General features: G+C 45.5%; 1 protein-coding gene and 1 long non-coding RNA gene across 2 annotated transcripts in view, besides 6 other annotated features; both read right to left on the bottom strand.

Annotated features, from left to right (window-relative positions):
* CAND1.11 (uncharacterized LOC100130460) overlaps positions 1-11,990 on the bottom strand; it is a 122,361-nt gene extending 110,371 nt beyond the window's left edge. Inside the window, exon 1 of the long non-coding RNA NR_103765.1 lies at positions 11,630-11,990. This is a non-coding gene — a long non-coding RNA (uncharacterized LOC100130460). The remainder of the gene's footprint in view (positions 1-11,629) is intronic.
* Positions 5,339-5,408: a silencer, noted in NCBI's record as "silent region_3149". NCBI's record gives its function as "represses an Ori minimal core promoter by ATAC-STARR-seq in GM12878 lymphoblastoid cells {active_cell/tissue: GM12878}" and the evidence as "EXISTENCE:reporter gene assay evidence [ECO:0000049][PMID:35858748]".
* Positions 12,120-12,389: an enhancer, noted in NCBI's record as "active region_4431". NCBI's record gives its function as "activates an Ori minimal core promoter by ATAC-STARR-seq in GM12878 lymphoblastoid cells {active_cell/tissue: GM12878}" and the evidence as "EXISTENCE:reporter gene assay evidence [ECO:0000049][PMID:35858748]".
* Positions 12,890-12,989: a silencer, noted in NCBI's record as "silent region_3148". NCBI's record gives its function as "represses an Ori minimal core promoter by ATAC-STARR-seq in GM12878 lymphoblastoid cells {active_cell/tissue: GM12878}" and the evidence as "EXISTENCE:reporter gene assay evidence [ECO:0000049][PMID:35858748]".
* Positions 12,906-15,230, bottom strand: ADM (adrenomedullin). Its single transcript, NM_001124.3, has 4 exons — positions 15,074-15,230; positions 14,505-14,623; positions 14,205-14,354; positions 12,906-13,971 (listed from the first exon to the last, which is right to left on the bottom strand). Exons 2-4 carry the CDS (start codon positions 14,600-14,602, stop codon positions 13,662-13,664), a joined length of 558 nt encoding a protein of 185 aa, NP_001115.1. The 5' UTR covers positions 14,603-14,623; positions 15,074-15,230; the 3' UTR covers positions 12,906-13,661.
* Positions 13,327-13,621: a silencer, noted in NCBI's record as "tiled region #210; HepG2 Repressive non-DNase unmatched - State 2:TssF, and K562 Repressive non-DNase unmatched - State 10:DNaseD". NCBI's record gives its function as "represses a minimal TATA promoter and a strong SV40 promoter by Sharpr-MPRA in HepG2 and K562 cells {active_cell/tissue: HepG2 | K562}" and the evidence as "EXISTENCE:reporter gene assay evidence [ECO:0000049][PMID:27701403]".
* Positions 14,639-14,688: a silencer, noted in NCBI's record as "silent region_3147". NCBI's record gives its function as "represses an Ori minimal core promoter by ATAC-STARR-seq in GM12878 lymphoblastoid cells {active_cell/tissue: GM12878}" and the evidence as "EXISTENCE:reporter gene assay evidence [ECO:0000049][PMID:35858748]".
* Positions 14,709-14,758: a silencer, noted in NCBI's record as "silent region_3146". NCBI's record gives its function as "represses an Ori minimal core promoter by ATAC-STARR-seq in GM12878 lymphoblastoid cells {active_cell/tissue: GM12878}" and the evidence as "EXISTENCE:reporter gene assay evidence [ECO:0000049][PMID:35858748]".

Raw genomic sequence — 15,398 nt, 5'->3', positions numbered from 1 at the left:
ACTAGAAATCAGTTGGCATATCTTGGGCTCTCACATTGCTTTAATTTTTCAAGTAGTGGGGTGAAGAAAGAGTCCTCCATAGTGATAAAGTGGAGAGAGATGCCTGTGCCCAAGCAGTCTTCACTTACCAGAATGTGCCAAGAGATAAACAGGGACCATATAGATGCAATTCTCCCCTATTAACTACTTGTCATGTTTAACATGACAGTTCACCCTGAAAGCTTTTGAAAGACTTCCCAGTTTTTAATAAAGTTGGCTGATTTGGTCCTGACAATTTGTCTTTCATTTAATAGAAAATTGGAAGGGCAATTTGGGTCAGATGCTTATTTTGGGAAAAAATAATTAGGAGTTTTGTTTTCTCTGTGCGTGTGTGTGTGTGTGTGTGTATGTGTGTGTGCGTGTGCGTGTGCGTGCATGCTCAAGGTCGTACAGGGCTGAAAGAGCAGATGTGGTATGAATTAAGGAAGTTTATCTGATGATTGTCTATAGTGGCACAGATGATGGGGTTATTGCCTGGAAATGCTTGTGTTTTCCATGGAAACATGGTTTGGGAAGAAACTGATGTTTTAGAAAAACTAACAAAGTTAAGATCAAGTTGGAATGTTATGTGTTAAATTTAACAGCATGAGATGAAGACATCTGGCAAACATCTTAAGTTTGCTAACCTAGGTGCCAGTGAAAACTGTAAACTGAAAATTTCTTTCCCTCAAAGAGAAAATTCATATACCTGGGTTAGTTATAAATAACCTGCCTGGTCTCTGCTCCCACAGTTCCCTCTCTGAAAATGAAGTTACTGGAACCCTCTGCAAATAGGTACTTGCCTGATCAGGAAGACTTAAAGGACATCATCTCCACATTGGGTTGTTTGAGTGTCAGATCACCCTAGCCACTGACATTCTCCTAATCTAAATGAACATAATTTTTTTATCTGGACTGCTGCAATGGCAGGCTACCCAGTGTCTAGAACAGGGCCCTGCGTGGAGTAGACTGTTGATCTAAAATATCATTGATTGAATGAGTAAATGAAATCCTGTTTGCCCTGACTCAGTTACCCTGTCCTGATTCCCTAACTCTTGTTGCGTGTCTGGTGCTGAAATCCAGCCACGATACCACGTTTCTAGGCCTGTCGCCTGGTCCTGTTCTCATCAATCCCTTTGACAGAAGTACATTCATTTGTGAGGACCGTCATAACAAAATACCACAGACTGTGGCTTAAACAGCAGACATTTATTTTCCCATACTTCTGGAAGCTGGAAATCCAAGGACAAGGAGTCAGCAGGTTTGGTTTCTTTGGGAACCTCTCTAGTTGTCTGGCACGTGGCTGCCTTCTCTCTGTGTCCTCCCATAGTCTTCTTATAAAGACGCAAGTCATATTAGATTGAGGACCACACATATGACCTTATTTTTCCTTGATTTCCTCTTTAAAGGCCCTATCTCCAAACACAGTCACATTCTGAGGTACTGAGGGTTAGGGGTTTAGCATATGAATTTGGTGTATGGGGATAGGGGACACAATCAGGCCCATCAGAAGGAATAATTCCAGTCCTGTCTGCTGCCTCCAGCTGGACCTCTCTTGGGCCTGCCTATAGTTTGCTCCTAGAATGCGCGCTGCTGTGCTCCCTGACATGCCTGATGCCCTGTCATTTCCTGCTGTTCCTCCTTGATGCCAACACCCTACAGCACAACCACCTGTTGTCTGTTACTCTGCCCTCGGCTGGGGCTGGCCTCCTTCCCATCACCTGCAGCTTGTCTTCTCTCCAAACACCTGCCCCACTGGCTGCAGTTAACCCTTCTATTTCTGGCTGTTTGACTGGAAACAACCCTCAATCTACAACAAATGAATAAATAAATAAACTGTTGGTCTCAGTCTGTTAGCACCACCAGGGTGCATTTTTGAAATAGCTGTATGGGGACAATGTGTAGGCCGAACAAAGTTAAGTGGCTTCACAAAGATAAAATGTTACTCACAATCACACAATGACATCAGGCCCCACCCACAGACAATCCAGTTCAATTGGTTAGGGATAAGGCTCGGTGTCAGTTTTTTTTTTTTTTTTGAAGCTTCCCCCACATGACTTTAATAGGCAGAAGAGGTTAAGGATCACTGCTCTATCTGGTGGAACAAACCTATTAAATTGAGACAAAAGGTTACCAACTAGCTGAACATAGGAGCAAAACAAGGCTGGGGGATTCCCCCGCATCTGTGACTTGTGAATGTAGTGGAGTACGCCTCCCCAGAGTCCAGTCCCTCCCAAACACAGGGGTGGGTGACTCTTCCTTCAGCTCTAGCACCCCTTTGGTGTTAATTGCTCTGCCCTTTGGTCTAAGAAGTTGGGGGTGGCTTATTAGTGTCCTCTGCCATGTAGGGCAATGTGGGTAGGGTAAGGTTCAGCAATGACTCCAGACTTAGGCAAGTATCACATCTGCTGGGCCATCTGAGCGTGACTTGCAGGCTGCTATTGATGAAAGATCTCCAGCAGTAGTAAAAAGAGCAACTAACATGGCTCTTTGGCTCAGGCAACAGTGGGACTCACTTGAATGGCAGGGGATGAGCTCCAGGCATTTAACTGGCCTCCACAGGTTTGCTGGGACTGATCTGCAGTCTCTCCATGCTGATGTCCTCCTCTCTGTGGGCTCTTTCCCAAGGCCTCCCTGCAACCTCATAGGTCCCTGCTCTCCCCCCGCCCAGGATGAAGGCGGCTTAGTCCAGCTCTCCCTCTAGTCTCTTTCCAGTGTGGGTAAAGCCCAATCCCTGATGCTTCCGGGCCTTCCCTTTTGATTCTCAAGAGCCTTTTCTTCTCTCAACAAAACCTGGTTCTCTGCAAACAAAAGGCTTTGGCTTTCAAAACTATTGTTTTTGATGTGGGCTTCAAGAGGCTATTTTAAAGTCAGAAAACTGAACATTTACTGTTTCATTCTGACTGTTTCTTTCTGTTAGCATTCCGGTTGTACCAATCCTAATTCTCCTCAAGGCAATGCCTCTGATTTACTAGGGAAAAGGTCAAGTGGAAAAAGTGTAGCAAAGAAAAGCATGAACAATAACATTTCAAGATACCCTTTCTCTATGTAAGAAATACTGCAACACTGGCCACTCCACACCTCCCCTCAGGCAAGCCCCCACAAGTGAGCAGGCCAGGATGTTCTGGCTGAGTCCACACAGGCAGAGTGAAGAGGAGAACCAAGATTTTTCTTGATAATAACAGTTCTAAATCACAATTATTAAATCATTGTTTTCTTTAACAAGCCAATGGCCAAAAACAAAAGGTGGGAGGAGCTTGCTCTAGATTAAAGAAACACTAGAGATAGAACAAATTTGTCTGGATTCTATTTTGAACAAACCATTGTCAAAAGACATTTTTTGAGGCAATCGGGCAAAGTTGATTATGGCCTGGCTATGAGATGATACTGCAGAATTATTTTTAATGTTAAGTGTGACAATAGCATTTTGGCTACATAAGAAAACATTATTTTCATTTTTTTAAAACAGATGCATACTGAAGTATGTGTGGGTGATATGATAGGATGACTGGACAAAAGAAAATTGAAGAAAAGGAAAAAGTTATTAAGAAAAGAAGAAAAGAAAGAGGAAGAAGAGAAAAGAGAAGGATAGGCAGGAAAGAAAAGAAAAAACATACTTTGGCAAAAAAATTTTTTAAAAACAAAAAAGAAAAAAGGATAGATGAATCAAATGTGGCAATATCATGATAATTATTGAATTTTAATGATGAGCATATGGGGGGTCATTATATTATTATTTCTCTGTTTTTGTGCGTTTGAAAGCTTTCATAATTTTTTAAGTTGTAAAACTGGTGCAGAAAAAGACAGACTGAGCAATGGAAGAGATTAAAAGGGCCAGAAACAAATTTAAATATTTACTATTTAAGAATTATTATATTACTGATTTGCAGGAAGATGAATTCTTTCTTCAAATAAAATCTTCAAATAAAATCTGACGAGGAGCACCAACAAAAAGGAATAAAACAAAAAAGGAATAGAGATGTTCCACTAGAAGCTGGAGAGAGAGACTAGCATTTTTTTCTTCCCCTTTTTCTCCCCAGAAAACTTCAGAAGTAACTCAGGAAAACTCTCTGTGGAACACAGTTTAAAAACCTCTGGTGCATATGATGAAGGAAGACCCTCAGGTCCTACAGAAAATATGCATTACTCAGTATAAATACTGGACAATTGGCTAACAATTTAGGGGAAAATAAAAGTTAAATCCCTACCTCATCAGATGCCAAAATAAATTCCATTTGCTTTAAAATGTTTAGCCTGGATAATATGGTGAAACCCCATCTCTACAAAAAATTTAAAAATTAGCCAGGCGTGGTGGTGTGCACCTGTAGTCCCAGCTACTAGGGAGGCTGAGGTGAGAGGATCACCTGAGCCCAGGAGGTCGAGGCTACAGTGAGCCACAATCACGCCACTGCACTCCAGCCTGGGCAACAGAGTGAGACCTTGTCTCAAAAAAATAAATAAAATAAAATGTTTAAAGTATAAAACAAAATCATAAAAATATTAGAAAAAAAGAGATGGCTATTCTAAAATATTGAGGCAGAGAAAGACTTCGTAAGCAAGCCAGTAAAGACAGAAATTATAAAGGAAAACATCGGTATCTTTGATTATATAAATATTTATAAGTTTTATATGGCAAAAAATAAGCCACACTCTCTCTACAAAAAGAAAAAAGGTGTGTCTCTATGTGACAAAACTTTAGTATTCTTAATCAATAAGAATATTAAAGTATTTCAGATCAACAGGAAAAAAACAAATATTCCAACAGAATGAATGAATCAAGAACTCAAAAAAAAAATGGCAGGGCGTGGTAGCTCATTTATAATCCTATAATTACAGTCCTATAATTCCGGCACTTTGGAAGGTCGAGGCAGGAGAACCACTCGAGCCCAGGAGTTCAAGACCAGCCTGGGCAACATAGTGAGACCTCCTCTCTACAAAACATTTAAACATTAACCAGGGTGGTACACGCCTATAGTCATAGCTATTCAGGAGGCTGAGGCAGGAGGATCACTTGAACCCAGAAGCTGGAGGCTGCAATGAGCTATGATCATGCCACTGCACTCCAGCCTGGGTGACAAAGCGAGACCCTGTCTGTTAATAATAAATAAAATAAATAAGTAAATAAATAAACAATAATAATATATATATAAGGGGAAATATAAATGATCATGAAGACATCAAAAATACTCAAGCTACACTAATAATCATGGAAATAAGTTAAAGTAGTGAGAAGAGTTGATGCTGTTAAATTAAATTTAGTCTAAATCTGCTTCCTTAAATATTTTAAGTTTGGCCAAAAGCTTTTTGCATACGTAGTGAACGGTAACCTAACGATGTGAAAACACACTGTAACCTACTCTTGCAACAAGCAGCCAAGTCTCAGCCAATCACAGAAGCCATACTTCAACTACTCACAGGTTGCTAAGTGTTTAAACCTTGTTTTAAAAAGGCAGACACAGAGCTGTAACCAGTCTGGCTGTTTCTGTCCCTCACTTCCATTTTCTCAATGTCACTTTTGTTTTTCTGTCCATAAATCCTCTCCAACCACGTGGCAGCACCAGAGATGCTCTGAACTTACTCTGGCTCTCGGGGGCTGCCTGATTCATGAATCCTTCTTTACGCAGTTAAACTATGTTAAATTTAATTTGTCTAAAGTTTTGTTTTTTAAACAATGCTGATTCCTCTTTCTGGTGATATAGCAGACTAAGTTGAAAATCCTGCTACTATAAAACATCTAGAAATGCTAAGTAAAATACACTTAATATCCTTTTAAATGCATAGCTGAACCCCATGAAAATACAGGAAAGCCACAGAAAACTAAACCAAGGTAACTAAAATCCAGAGTAGAAAACTTGAGCTGAAAAGCAGTTGCCTGGGCTTTGCGGAAGGGGTTTCCTCCCTTTGGTAACAGAGATTTGTTTAGGGACAGAAGAAAAGGAACTGAGATACTCAAGTAAATCCAAGGACTCTCAAAATGCTACACCCCACATCACCAGCACAGATGCACTTTTGCGTGGTTCATAAACATAAAATTAAGAAATTAATATAAAGAATGGTCTCAGATGGGTAATAACCTTGGGACAATTGGCAGAAGCAAACATAAATCTCTCTGAAGGGACTCAACCCAGTCCACACAGAATTACCATCAACTAAGCTTTAATAAGATGAGCTCGGAACCCCAAATTACAGGAAATAGGAAGAAATACATCACAATGAATAAGAGTCAGCAGATAAAGGTAGCAGAGTTATTAGAACGAAACTATAAACTAAATGTTTTAAATTATTAAGGATATAAAATACAGTCTCAAAAACATGAGAAAAGAATAAAACTTTTTAAAGAGCAATAGGAAACACCATGTTTACCTATTACATGACATAATATTATTAATTGAAAAGAAGAATAATGTTCAGTGTTTCAAAGGAAATAGGAAATTGACTTTTTTTTTTTTTTTGAGACAGAGTTTCACTCTTGTCACTCAGGCTGGAGTGCAATGGCGCAATCGTGGCTCACTGCAACCTCTGCCTCCCAGGTTCAAGCGATTCTCCTGCCCCAGCCTCCTGAGTAGTTGAGACTACAGGCACCTGCCACCACACTCGGCTAATTTTTTGTATTTTTAGTAGAGACGGGGTTTCACCATGTTGGTCAGGCTGGTCTCGAACTCCTGACCTCAGGTGATCCACCCATCTTGGCCTCCCACAGTGCTGAGATTACAGGCATGAGCCACTGCACCTGGCCAGAAATTGACTTTTTTATACTGTTAGTAGAAGTAAAAATTGATCCTTCCAGAAGGCAATCTGGCTCAAATGCTTTAACAAAAAAGAGTACAGACCCAATGACCCAATAATTTTATTTGTAATAATTTATCCTAAAAAATAGTCATTAAATTACTCAAAGATGAGTTGAATGCACATAAAAATGTTCATTGAGGGCTTTAAAAAATTGTTTAGAGATGGGATCCCCCTATGTTGCCCAAGCTGGTCTCGAACTCCTGGCTTCAAGTGATCCTCCCACCTCGGCCTCCTTGTAGCTGGGAATACAGGTGCAAGCCACAGCACCCAGCTATATTGGGGCCATTTTTAATGGTAAAAACACAGAGGGAAAATCTTAGCACTCAGCCAGGAGTAGTGGCTCATGCCTGTAATCCCAACACTTTGGGAGGCCAAGACAGGAGGATCACTTGAGGCCAGGAGTTCAAGACCAGCCTGGGCAACATAGTGAGACCCCAGTCTACAAAATATTTTTAAAATTAGCTGGGCATGGTGGTGCACACCTGTAGTCCCAGCTACTCAAGAGGCTGAGTCAGAAGGATTGGTCGGGCCCGGGTATTCAGGTTACAGTAAGCTATGATTGTGCCACTGCACTCCAACCTGGGACAGAGTGAGAAACACACACACACACACACACACACACACCCCAAAACCAAAATAACCTTAACATCCAACAGCAAAGAATGGTTAAACAAATTATGATTTGTTTCATAATTTGTTTCATTTCATTTTAATAAAATGAAATACTGTGCAGGATATTAAAATGATGTTGCATAGATATATTTATTGGCATCAAAAGATGCCCAAATATACTGAGAAGTAAAAAAAAAAAAAAAACACATCAGCAGATCATGGACAAATATGATCTCACTTCTTTTTAATTGTGTAGCCCACTAGGAAAAGTTCAAATGACCAATAAATAAATGAAGATATGCCAAAATTCACCAGCAACCAGTAATGGAAAGTAAAACAATATTACTTTTATACCCATCAGCATGGCAAACATCAGAAGACAATCCATGCTATATTTCTCAGGGTTTTCTAGAGAAACACAATCAGTAGGATATGTATAGATTTGTTGGTTTGTTTATTATGGGAACTGGCTTATGCAATTATGGATGCTGGTAAGTCTCAAGATATGCCGTCTGCAAACTGGAGAACCAGGAAAACTGGGGGTGTAATTCAGTCCGAGTCCAAAGGACTGAAAACCGGGGAAACTGATGGTATAACTCCCAGTCTCAGTATGGAGTGAGGCCACTGGTGTAAGTTGGAAACCTCAAGAACCAAGAGGTCTGATGTCCAAGGGCAGGAGAAGATGGATGTCCCAGCACAAGAAAACAGAGGGAGAATTTGCCCTTCCCCTGCCTTTTTTGTTCTATTCCAGGTCTCAACAGATTAGATAATGCCTGTCCACATTGGTGAGAGAGCTTCTTTACTCAGTCTACCGGTTCCAAAGCTAATCTCCTCTGGAGACATCCTCACAGACATACCCAGAAATAATTTTTTACCATCTATCTGGGCATCCCTTAGCCCAGTCAAGTTGACATATGAAATTAACCATCATACATACAAATATTGCAATGACATGGGGAGATGAGAACTCTCAGGTACTGCTGGTGGAAATGAATACTGGTACAGGCATTTTGGAAAGCAATCTCATACAATTTAGCGTAATCTGTATGTAGAAGCCTTTTAACTAAATGATGCCATTTCTGGGTATATATCTCCAAGAAATTTCCATTTAGACCCATAAGAGGACATGAAATGGAAGGTTAATTTACATATTGTTTGTGGCAGAGGGTTACTGGGGGCAACCCAAGTGTCCCTCATTAAAAGACAAGAAAAGTAAAATGTGGCAGATCCATAAAATAAGTAATATTCAGCAGTAAGAGGAAACAAATCTACCTGGATAATTTTTTTAAAGTGTTGAGTGAGATTAGGAAACAATAAATATTTTAACACAATGTGTTTGCAGGTTAAAAACATGTAAAGTTGTGAAATAACACAGCAGATTTTACAAGATTGCGTACTATAATAAGCACAGATATCAAACACATTAAAGAGGTTCCTATAAAGGAGATGTGAAGGGATATGGAAATTAAAGAAGAAAAAATAAAATAATTTTAAAAAGAGAGAAGCCTTGCGCAGATTGGTAATGACAATTTGCCTTAAACTGAGTAGGTTTAATTCAGCTCTCTCCACTGAATTCAATTTTTTAAAGTGTGTATAGGTATAATACATAAAAATGTCTAAAAGGAAGTTAGCCAGGCATCATGCCTATAGTCACCCCTACTCAGGAGGCTGAGGCAGGAGGATTGCTTGGGCCTGGGAGTCTGAGGCAGTGAGCTTGATCAAACCACTGCACTCCAGCCTGGGCAACTGAGCAAAACCCTGTCTCTAAAAAAATAAATAAATAAATAAAAGATTAAAATGTCTAAAATATTAATAGTGGTTATCTCTGAAAGTAGTATTGCAGGTGAATCTTTTTCTTCTACACTGAATAAATATTGTAAATAAGTAAAATGCATTTTTTATGCTCTAAAATTGTATCTTAATACTCAAAACTACTTTCCTAATGTTGGATAAATGTACAAAAACCTACTAAATTCAGCTGCCTGTGTGGCCACAGTCATTTTATTGTTTTTCCAGAATGTTCCAAAATAGCTCTGGAACAAGACCAGTGGGACCACCAGATAGCTATCTAGCCTCACCCTTCTTCCCATGCACATGAAGACCAAGCCTCCAGCCTGGCTTTGGCAGAAACCTCTGTGAGACTCAGGATAACAAGGCCTTCTCCTTCTCAGCTGGGGAAAGGAGGGGCCTTATGTCATAGCGCTCTCTCTCTCTCTCTCTCTCTCTCTCTCTCTGTCTCTCTCTCTCTCTCTCTCTCTGAGTCAGTTCAGAACATCCTCTAAAAAGGTGCCTTGAGCAGCAGTTGCCAAGACAAAAGATCCCACCTCAAGGGTGGAAACTCTATTTGCAGTTTTGTAGACACAGGTGTTCTTCCAGGCGACTTAAGACCTACAGTGTGGGGCTGTATTTGGCCAGGAATAGCTCAGAAGGCCTTCCCCCCCGAAACCAGCTCTTGAAGCTTCAGTGTATATTTTAACTATATTTGGCAATTCAAACCAAAGAGGTCAGTGGCTTAGCTCAGGAGAGGAAAAAGGTTGATTTATAATCCCTTCTTCAAACCAAGACCAAGAATTTAAAACTCAGTTCATTTATTTATTTTGCACTCATTGAGCTTACTGCTTGAAGCAGCTCTCCTTCCCTATTCTACCAGCCCTCATGTAAATCTTTCAGAACCACAGGTGTGAATCACCTATACAAGCTATCCCTGTTTTAGAGGACATTTGGGGACATTTGGCTGGAGAATCTAAACGTTAAAATTATCCCACTTTACTCCATATGCCTTTAGAGGATCAAAATAGCCTGTAGCATTTGGGTACAAATCCAGGCTCCACCGCTTATTATTCACTGTGTAACCTTGGCTGAGTTACTTTATGTCTCTGAGGTTGTTTCCTTATCAATAAACAGATAACACCTACTTCACAAGGCTGTTGTAAGAATTAAATGAGATAAGGTGTATAAAGTGGCAAAGAGAATATCTGACACCAAGCAAGTGCTAAAAAAGGAATCTGTTTCCATTCCTCCCCATCACTCCCCTTCACCCTTGGCTGTTCAGCCAAGGTGTTGGCTTTTCAAGAAATTGCCTGATACCCCGTGTTTGATTACAAATGTATGGTATCATTCCCACAGCAAGCAACAGTAGCTAAAGATAAAAGCTGTGACTACTCCTCAGCTGTGGACAGGTCGAATCAGCTCACAAATGACTCATCACTGTTGATAAACAATGTGTTCTTGGCATCAATAGTCCCTATCCTGATAAGCTTCAGCACCTCAAAGAGAAGAGCCCGGGGTTTGATGGTGACCTTTGGTTAATCCTGAACTCATACCAAACTGGTCTTAGGAGGGTCTCTGTCTCCTCGCACATGTCTCCAGTCACAGGATTCTCAGCGGGAAGGACTCCAGCTGAGCAGCTGCCTCTTTTGTCTTAGGGCTGAACCATCTCCTTCACTTGCCTTGGATTCCCTCAAGTCATAAGACTTCCTCAGCACAAGGCTAGACGCCTGTTCCCTGCTCACAACCGCCCGAAGCTTGTGCCCAACCTGCCTTTGGCAGCTTTGTTTGCTGGCTGACGCTGTGCCAAGGTGAGGTTTGGCTGGAGTGCTTTGTGGCTACAGGACAACCTTGGCTCAAGGAAAGGAGTAATCTTGCGCCACTGTCTGCGAGGCTTAAGTGTTTGCTGCTCTCTGCAGTTTCTGTAGCCCCTTCAGACCACCCAGAACCCACTCACTGGCACAGAAATTCCATGACAGGAATCTTGAGTCACTCTTTCATTCATACATGCCTGGTACCTTCTCAGTGCCTGGCACAGAGTTCCCACAAAGTGAATCTTTTTCTGAAAGGCCCTTGAGGACAAGAATGGTCTGTAGCTGCATTTCTAACCTCCTCAATTCTGGCACACCTCACACAATTATTAAGATCAAACAGGACAATAAACTATATGAGATTGGCATTGTCAACAGCCAGGTGCCCAAACTGAGGTTTTGTATGGTCTTAAGGAAATTCTATGTACTCGAGTTTACTTTCTTCTAAATTGAAACTGCTTTGGAATGAGGTATCTCTGGACCCCAGAGTAGGGCCCCTCTCTCTCAGTGGGTATGCAGTCCTCTTCTGCAAGAAACTAAACATCCTAGCCCCTCGGAGGGGACCCTGTAATGTGCAAAAGCCCCAGAAGGCCGTAGGCTACCCTGGAAACATTTCCATTCTCCAAACTCACCTTCAGGTTTTCTTCACCAGGGAGGTTTCTGAGATCACCTACAAGCACTGACATTAAGGCCAGGGAAGCTTTTTGGAAGGGACAAGTAGCTGGTCTCCATCTTGGGTCTTCAGGATATTGGATGAGACAAACAGGGCACCCTGAAATCAAAATCAGGGGTCCCTCTCTTTACTCTTCCCTTATGTCCTAACTGTTCCTATGTCCCCTGCCTTTCTAGTCACTCAAGGGGGGCTTAGTGTCCGTCTATCGCCGGAACTGGGGTCAACCTTCTCAGAAGATAAGGCATATAAAGAAAGCAAGGAGGAAGGAAGGAGAGAGAGAGAGGAAGGCTGGAGAAAAGTGAAGAAAAAAATGAAAAAAGGCTTGGGAAGGAGGAAGGAAGAGGTGAGCGGCTAGGGGAGGCGGAACAATGAAGGTCTCAGGCCGTCGGAGGCTCACGGTTCCGCCGGCACGTCCGTCCTGCCCGCCTCCAGCCGGCAGCTGCACGCAGCGCAGCGTGTGGGCGCTGAGTCACTGTCCCAGAACAGGGAGCCGCGGTGCAGGTCTGGGGGGTGTAGGAGGACGGCCCTGGTTGGCATCTGCAAACTGTTTCTTTCTCTCTTTTTTTTTTTCTTTCTTTCCTCTTTCATTAAGGCTGTGTGCTGACTCCCACGTAGGAGAACTTATTAAACCGCACGTACTGCTTGGCGGCGCTGGGCCTGTCTCAGCTGCCTGCAGGGGGCGCTACAGCCTCGCCCATGAGCCAGCGGCCCGCGGGCGCTCAGGCCCGGGCAGACCCGGGGTTACTAGGGGTTACTGGGTTTTCCGGAGGTGTCCCCACGCATTGCTAGGGCGGCTTGGAACTTTAACAACCGCGGCAGGCAGGGGGAACGCCTCTCTTAGAAGGCCTCAGAGACCACCCCAACTCTTCGAAGCTCGCTTTCGCGCCGGGTTCTGTGAGCAACCCTATAAATCTAGGACTCCGTTGCGCAACCCGAGAGTCCAGGCTCGCCAACCCACTAGGGCTCCCCCTACCCACCCCCCGCCGGCCGCCACGCCAGGCGGTGACCTCGGGCGTCTCCGCGAAGCCCTGATTCGCACCCAGGACACGTGTTCTGCGCGCCCCACACAGAGAACAGAGCTCGTGACAGCTCAGCCCGCTCAGAGTAGGGCCAGCACCTGCACGCGCCGCTGTCCCACCTTCCCAAGCCCGGCGGCGGGACCCCAAGGCTCCTGGGCGGGCCGGGACCAGGGCACCCTCCCTTCCTAGACGTGAGAGCCGAGCCGAGAGAATGAATCAGCATTGAGACAGTTTATTGGTTTGCTGTTCGCATATCACCCATTTTATGTAAATAGATTATACAGAGACTCGGTGTTTCCTTCTTCCACACAGGAGGTAATCAGTCTTTCTCTTTCATGCACACAAACACACTCACATTCCACGCGGCGAACAACTTTACACCTCGCTGAGACATTCACGTCTTAAAATAGGGGAGGACAATATAATTGCTTTTAAAATGCCCTTAATACAATATATAACGTACAAAAATATCTCTATATTTGAAGTTACAAAAAAAATCTTGACAGCAACAAACTTAAATATTGATAGTTACCTCTGTATGTACAACACGCATTGCACTTTTCCTCTTTAGGTTTTGGAAAGTTCAAGTAATAGTGAGGCTTGCGCCCTGGTGGGGTGACACGCCGTGAGAAATCAGTTTGTGGGCGAGCACGGCTGTGGCTCAGACCCCTGCTCCGGGGGTCTCAGCATTCATTTCTCAGTTTCTCCTCTCCTTAAGCCTGGCAAACACTCGGATTCTTCTGCACCCCGCCCCCTGGGGCACTTGCACCTGAGCAAGGCTAAGGAAGCGAAGCCCCCAGAAGGAGGGGCCCTTGCAAAGCCAGAGCTCGCCGCCGGACGGTGCCTCCCGGACTCAGGGTCTCCGCAGGGCTGTCAGAGCCCGGTCCCCACACCGCTCGGGAAGTCCTTCGTCCCGGGAGGCACCAGCGGGATGCTTGCGCGACTATTCCTTGTACCATGGGCGCCTAAATCCTAAAGAAAGTGGGGAGCACTTCCACTCGGGGGGGCTGGAGCCCCGTGTGCTTGTGGCTTAGAAGACACCAGAGTCCGACCCGGGCCGGCCTCGGGCAGGGAGCGCCGGCGCCGGCGGCCGTAGCCCTGGGGGCTGATCTTGCTCCTGGGGGCGACGTTGTCCTTGTCCTTATCTGTGAACTGGTAGATCTGGTGTGCCAGCTTCTGCACCGTGCACGTCCCGAAGCGGCAGCCAAAGCTCCGGAGGCCCTGGAAGTTGTTCATGCTCTGGCGGTAGCGCTTGACTCGGATGCGGGCGGCATCCGGACTGCTGCGGGCGGGGGGAGGGGGAAGAAAGGCAACTTGAGACCCCATCAAGCAGAGCTTTGGCCCCAACACCGGGAACGGGAGCCATTCTAGAGCCAGAGGGAGCTGGAAACTGCTCGCGCCATCTGAGCTGCGGTCCAGCCCCGACGATCCCCCGGGCCAGGGGAGTGGAGACAGAGAACTCCTCCCGCACACCTTCCTTCCCTCCCGTCCCTGGACAGCACAGGGCGTAGTTACCTGTCTTCGGGGCTTCGAGAGGCACCCTTCATGTCCTGGGGCCGAATAAGGGTCTGGGCAGGCCCGGCCTTCACGTCAGCGAGCCCGGTGGGGTAGCTGCTGGACATCCGCAGTTCCCTCTTCCCACGACTCAGAGCCCACTTATTCCACCTGGAAAACACAAGCAGACCCGATTCGCGTGCGTTCAGGTGACGCCCAGGCCTGTCCCTGCTCCCATTCACTTCTAGACCTTCGGGACCAACGGTCAGTTCCCCTTGCCTGCCAGGTACCAGCAAGGGGGAAGGCGCTGCCCGGACTCACTTCTTTCGAAACTCCGACGCGACATCCAACCGAGCGGTGTCAGCGCCTAGGAAGGCGAGCGAACCCAGGTACATCAGGGCGACGGAAACCAGCTTCATCCCGGCTGCGAAGCGCAGACCCTGGAAAAGAAGAAAGAGAGTCGAGCGTGAGCACCCGGGCCAGCTGCACCGCCCGGGCGGGGCACGGAGGGCGGGCAGGGGCCCCGGCGAGGCGGGTTTAGCCCGCGCTTTCCCTGGCTCAGACGCTTATCTCCCTCCGCGCAGAGAGGCGCCAGAGGCGTTTGCACGCGCCGGCCGGGTGACAGGCCCCGCAGGGGAGGCCGCTGCACCCCGCCAGGCTCCCAGAGGGTCTCTGCTCAACTTCTTGGAACTTGGCTGACGGAGCAGAGGGGACTGGGTCTCTGGACCTCCAGCTGTGTGCACGAGCTGGGCCCAGGATATGGGGTGTATCTATCTCTCAGAGAACCCTCCAAAGTGGGTTGTTCCCCTCACCCAGCGCTCCCAGTTTAGGGCCTTGGCAAGCACTGCCCCCCACCCCACCTCTTAACCCGCAGGGTCTGCGGCACCTACCTGCTAAGAGAGTGATCTGCCAAGTACTTGAAGGAGAAAGTCTCAGACGTCCCACTGGCAATGGCAAAACTCCGAAGTCCAAGCCCAGCTGCAGTGAGAAGCCCGAAGTGGCAAGGCTTGAGCTGTTCTATCCAGTGTCACCAAGAAACCACTGAGTGGCCAGCTCTGGTTCCTGTGCTTTATAAGCGCACGGGTGGGGGAGCGGCGGGGCGGGGCCTGGGCTGCCCGGTTGCCTTCCCTTTCTTTCCTCAGCCACGCGCGCTCCTGCTCTCGGACGCGCGCATTGCTTCCTTTGGGGCTGGAGTTGGGATGGGGGGAGGGGGGA

This window comes from Homo sapiens, chromosome 11 (assembly GCF_000001405.40).
Source record: "Homo sapiens chromosome 11, GRCh38.p14 Primary Assembly".
Taxonomy (NCBI): domain Eukaryota; kingdom Metazoa; phylum Chordata; class Mammalia; order Primates; family Hominidae; genus Homo; species Homo sapiens.
The sequence above is the reverse complement of the archived record's forward strand: the minus strand, read 5'-3'. Positions and strand labels throughout refer to the sequence as shown.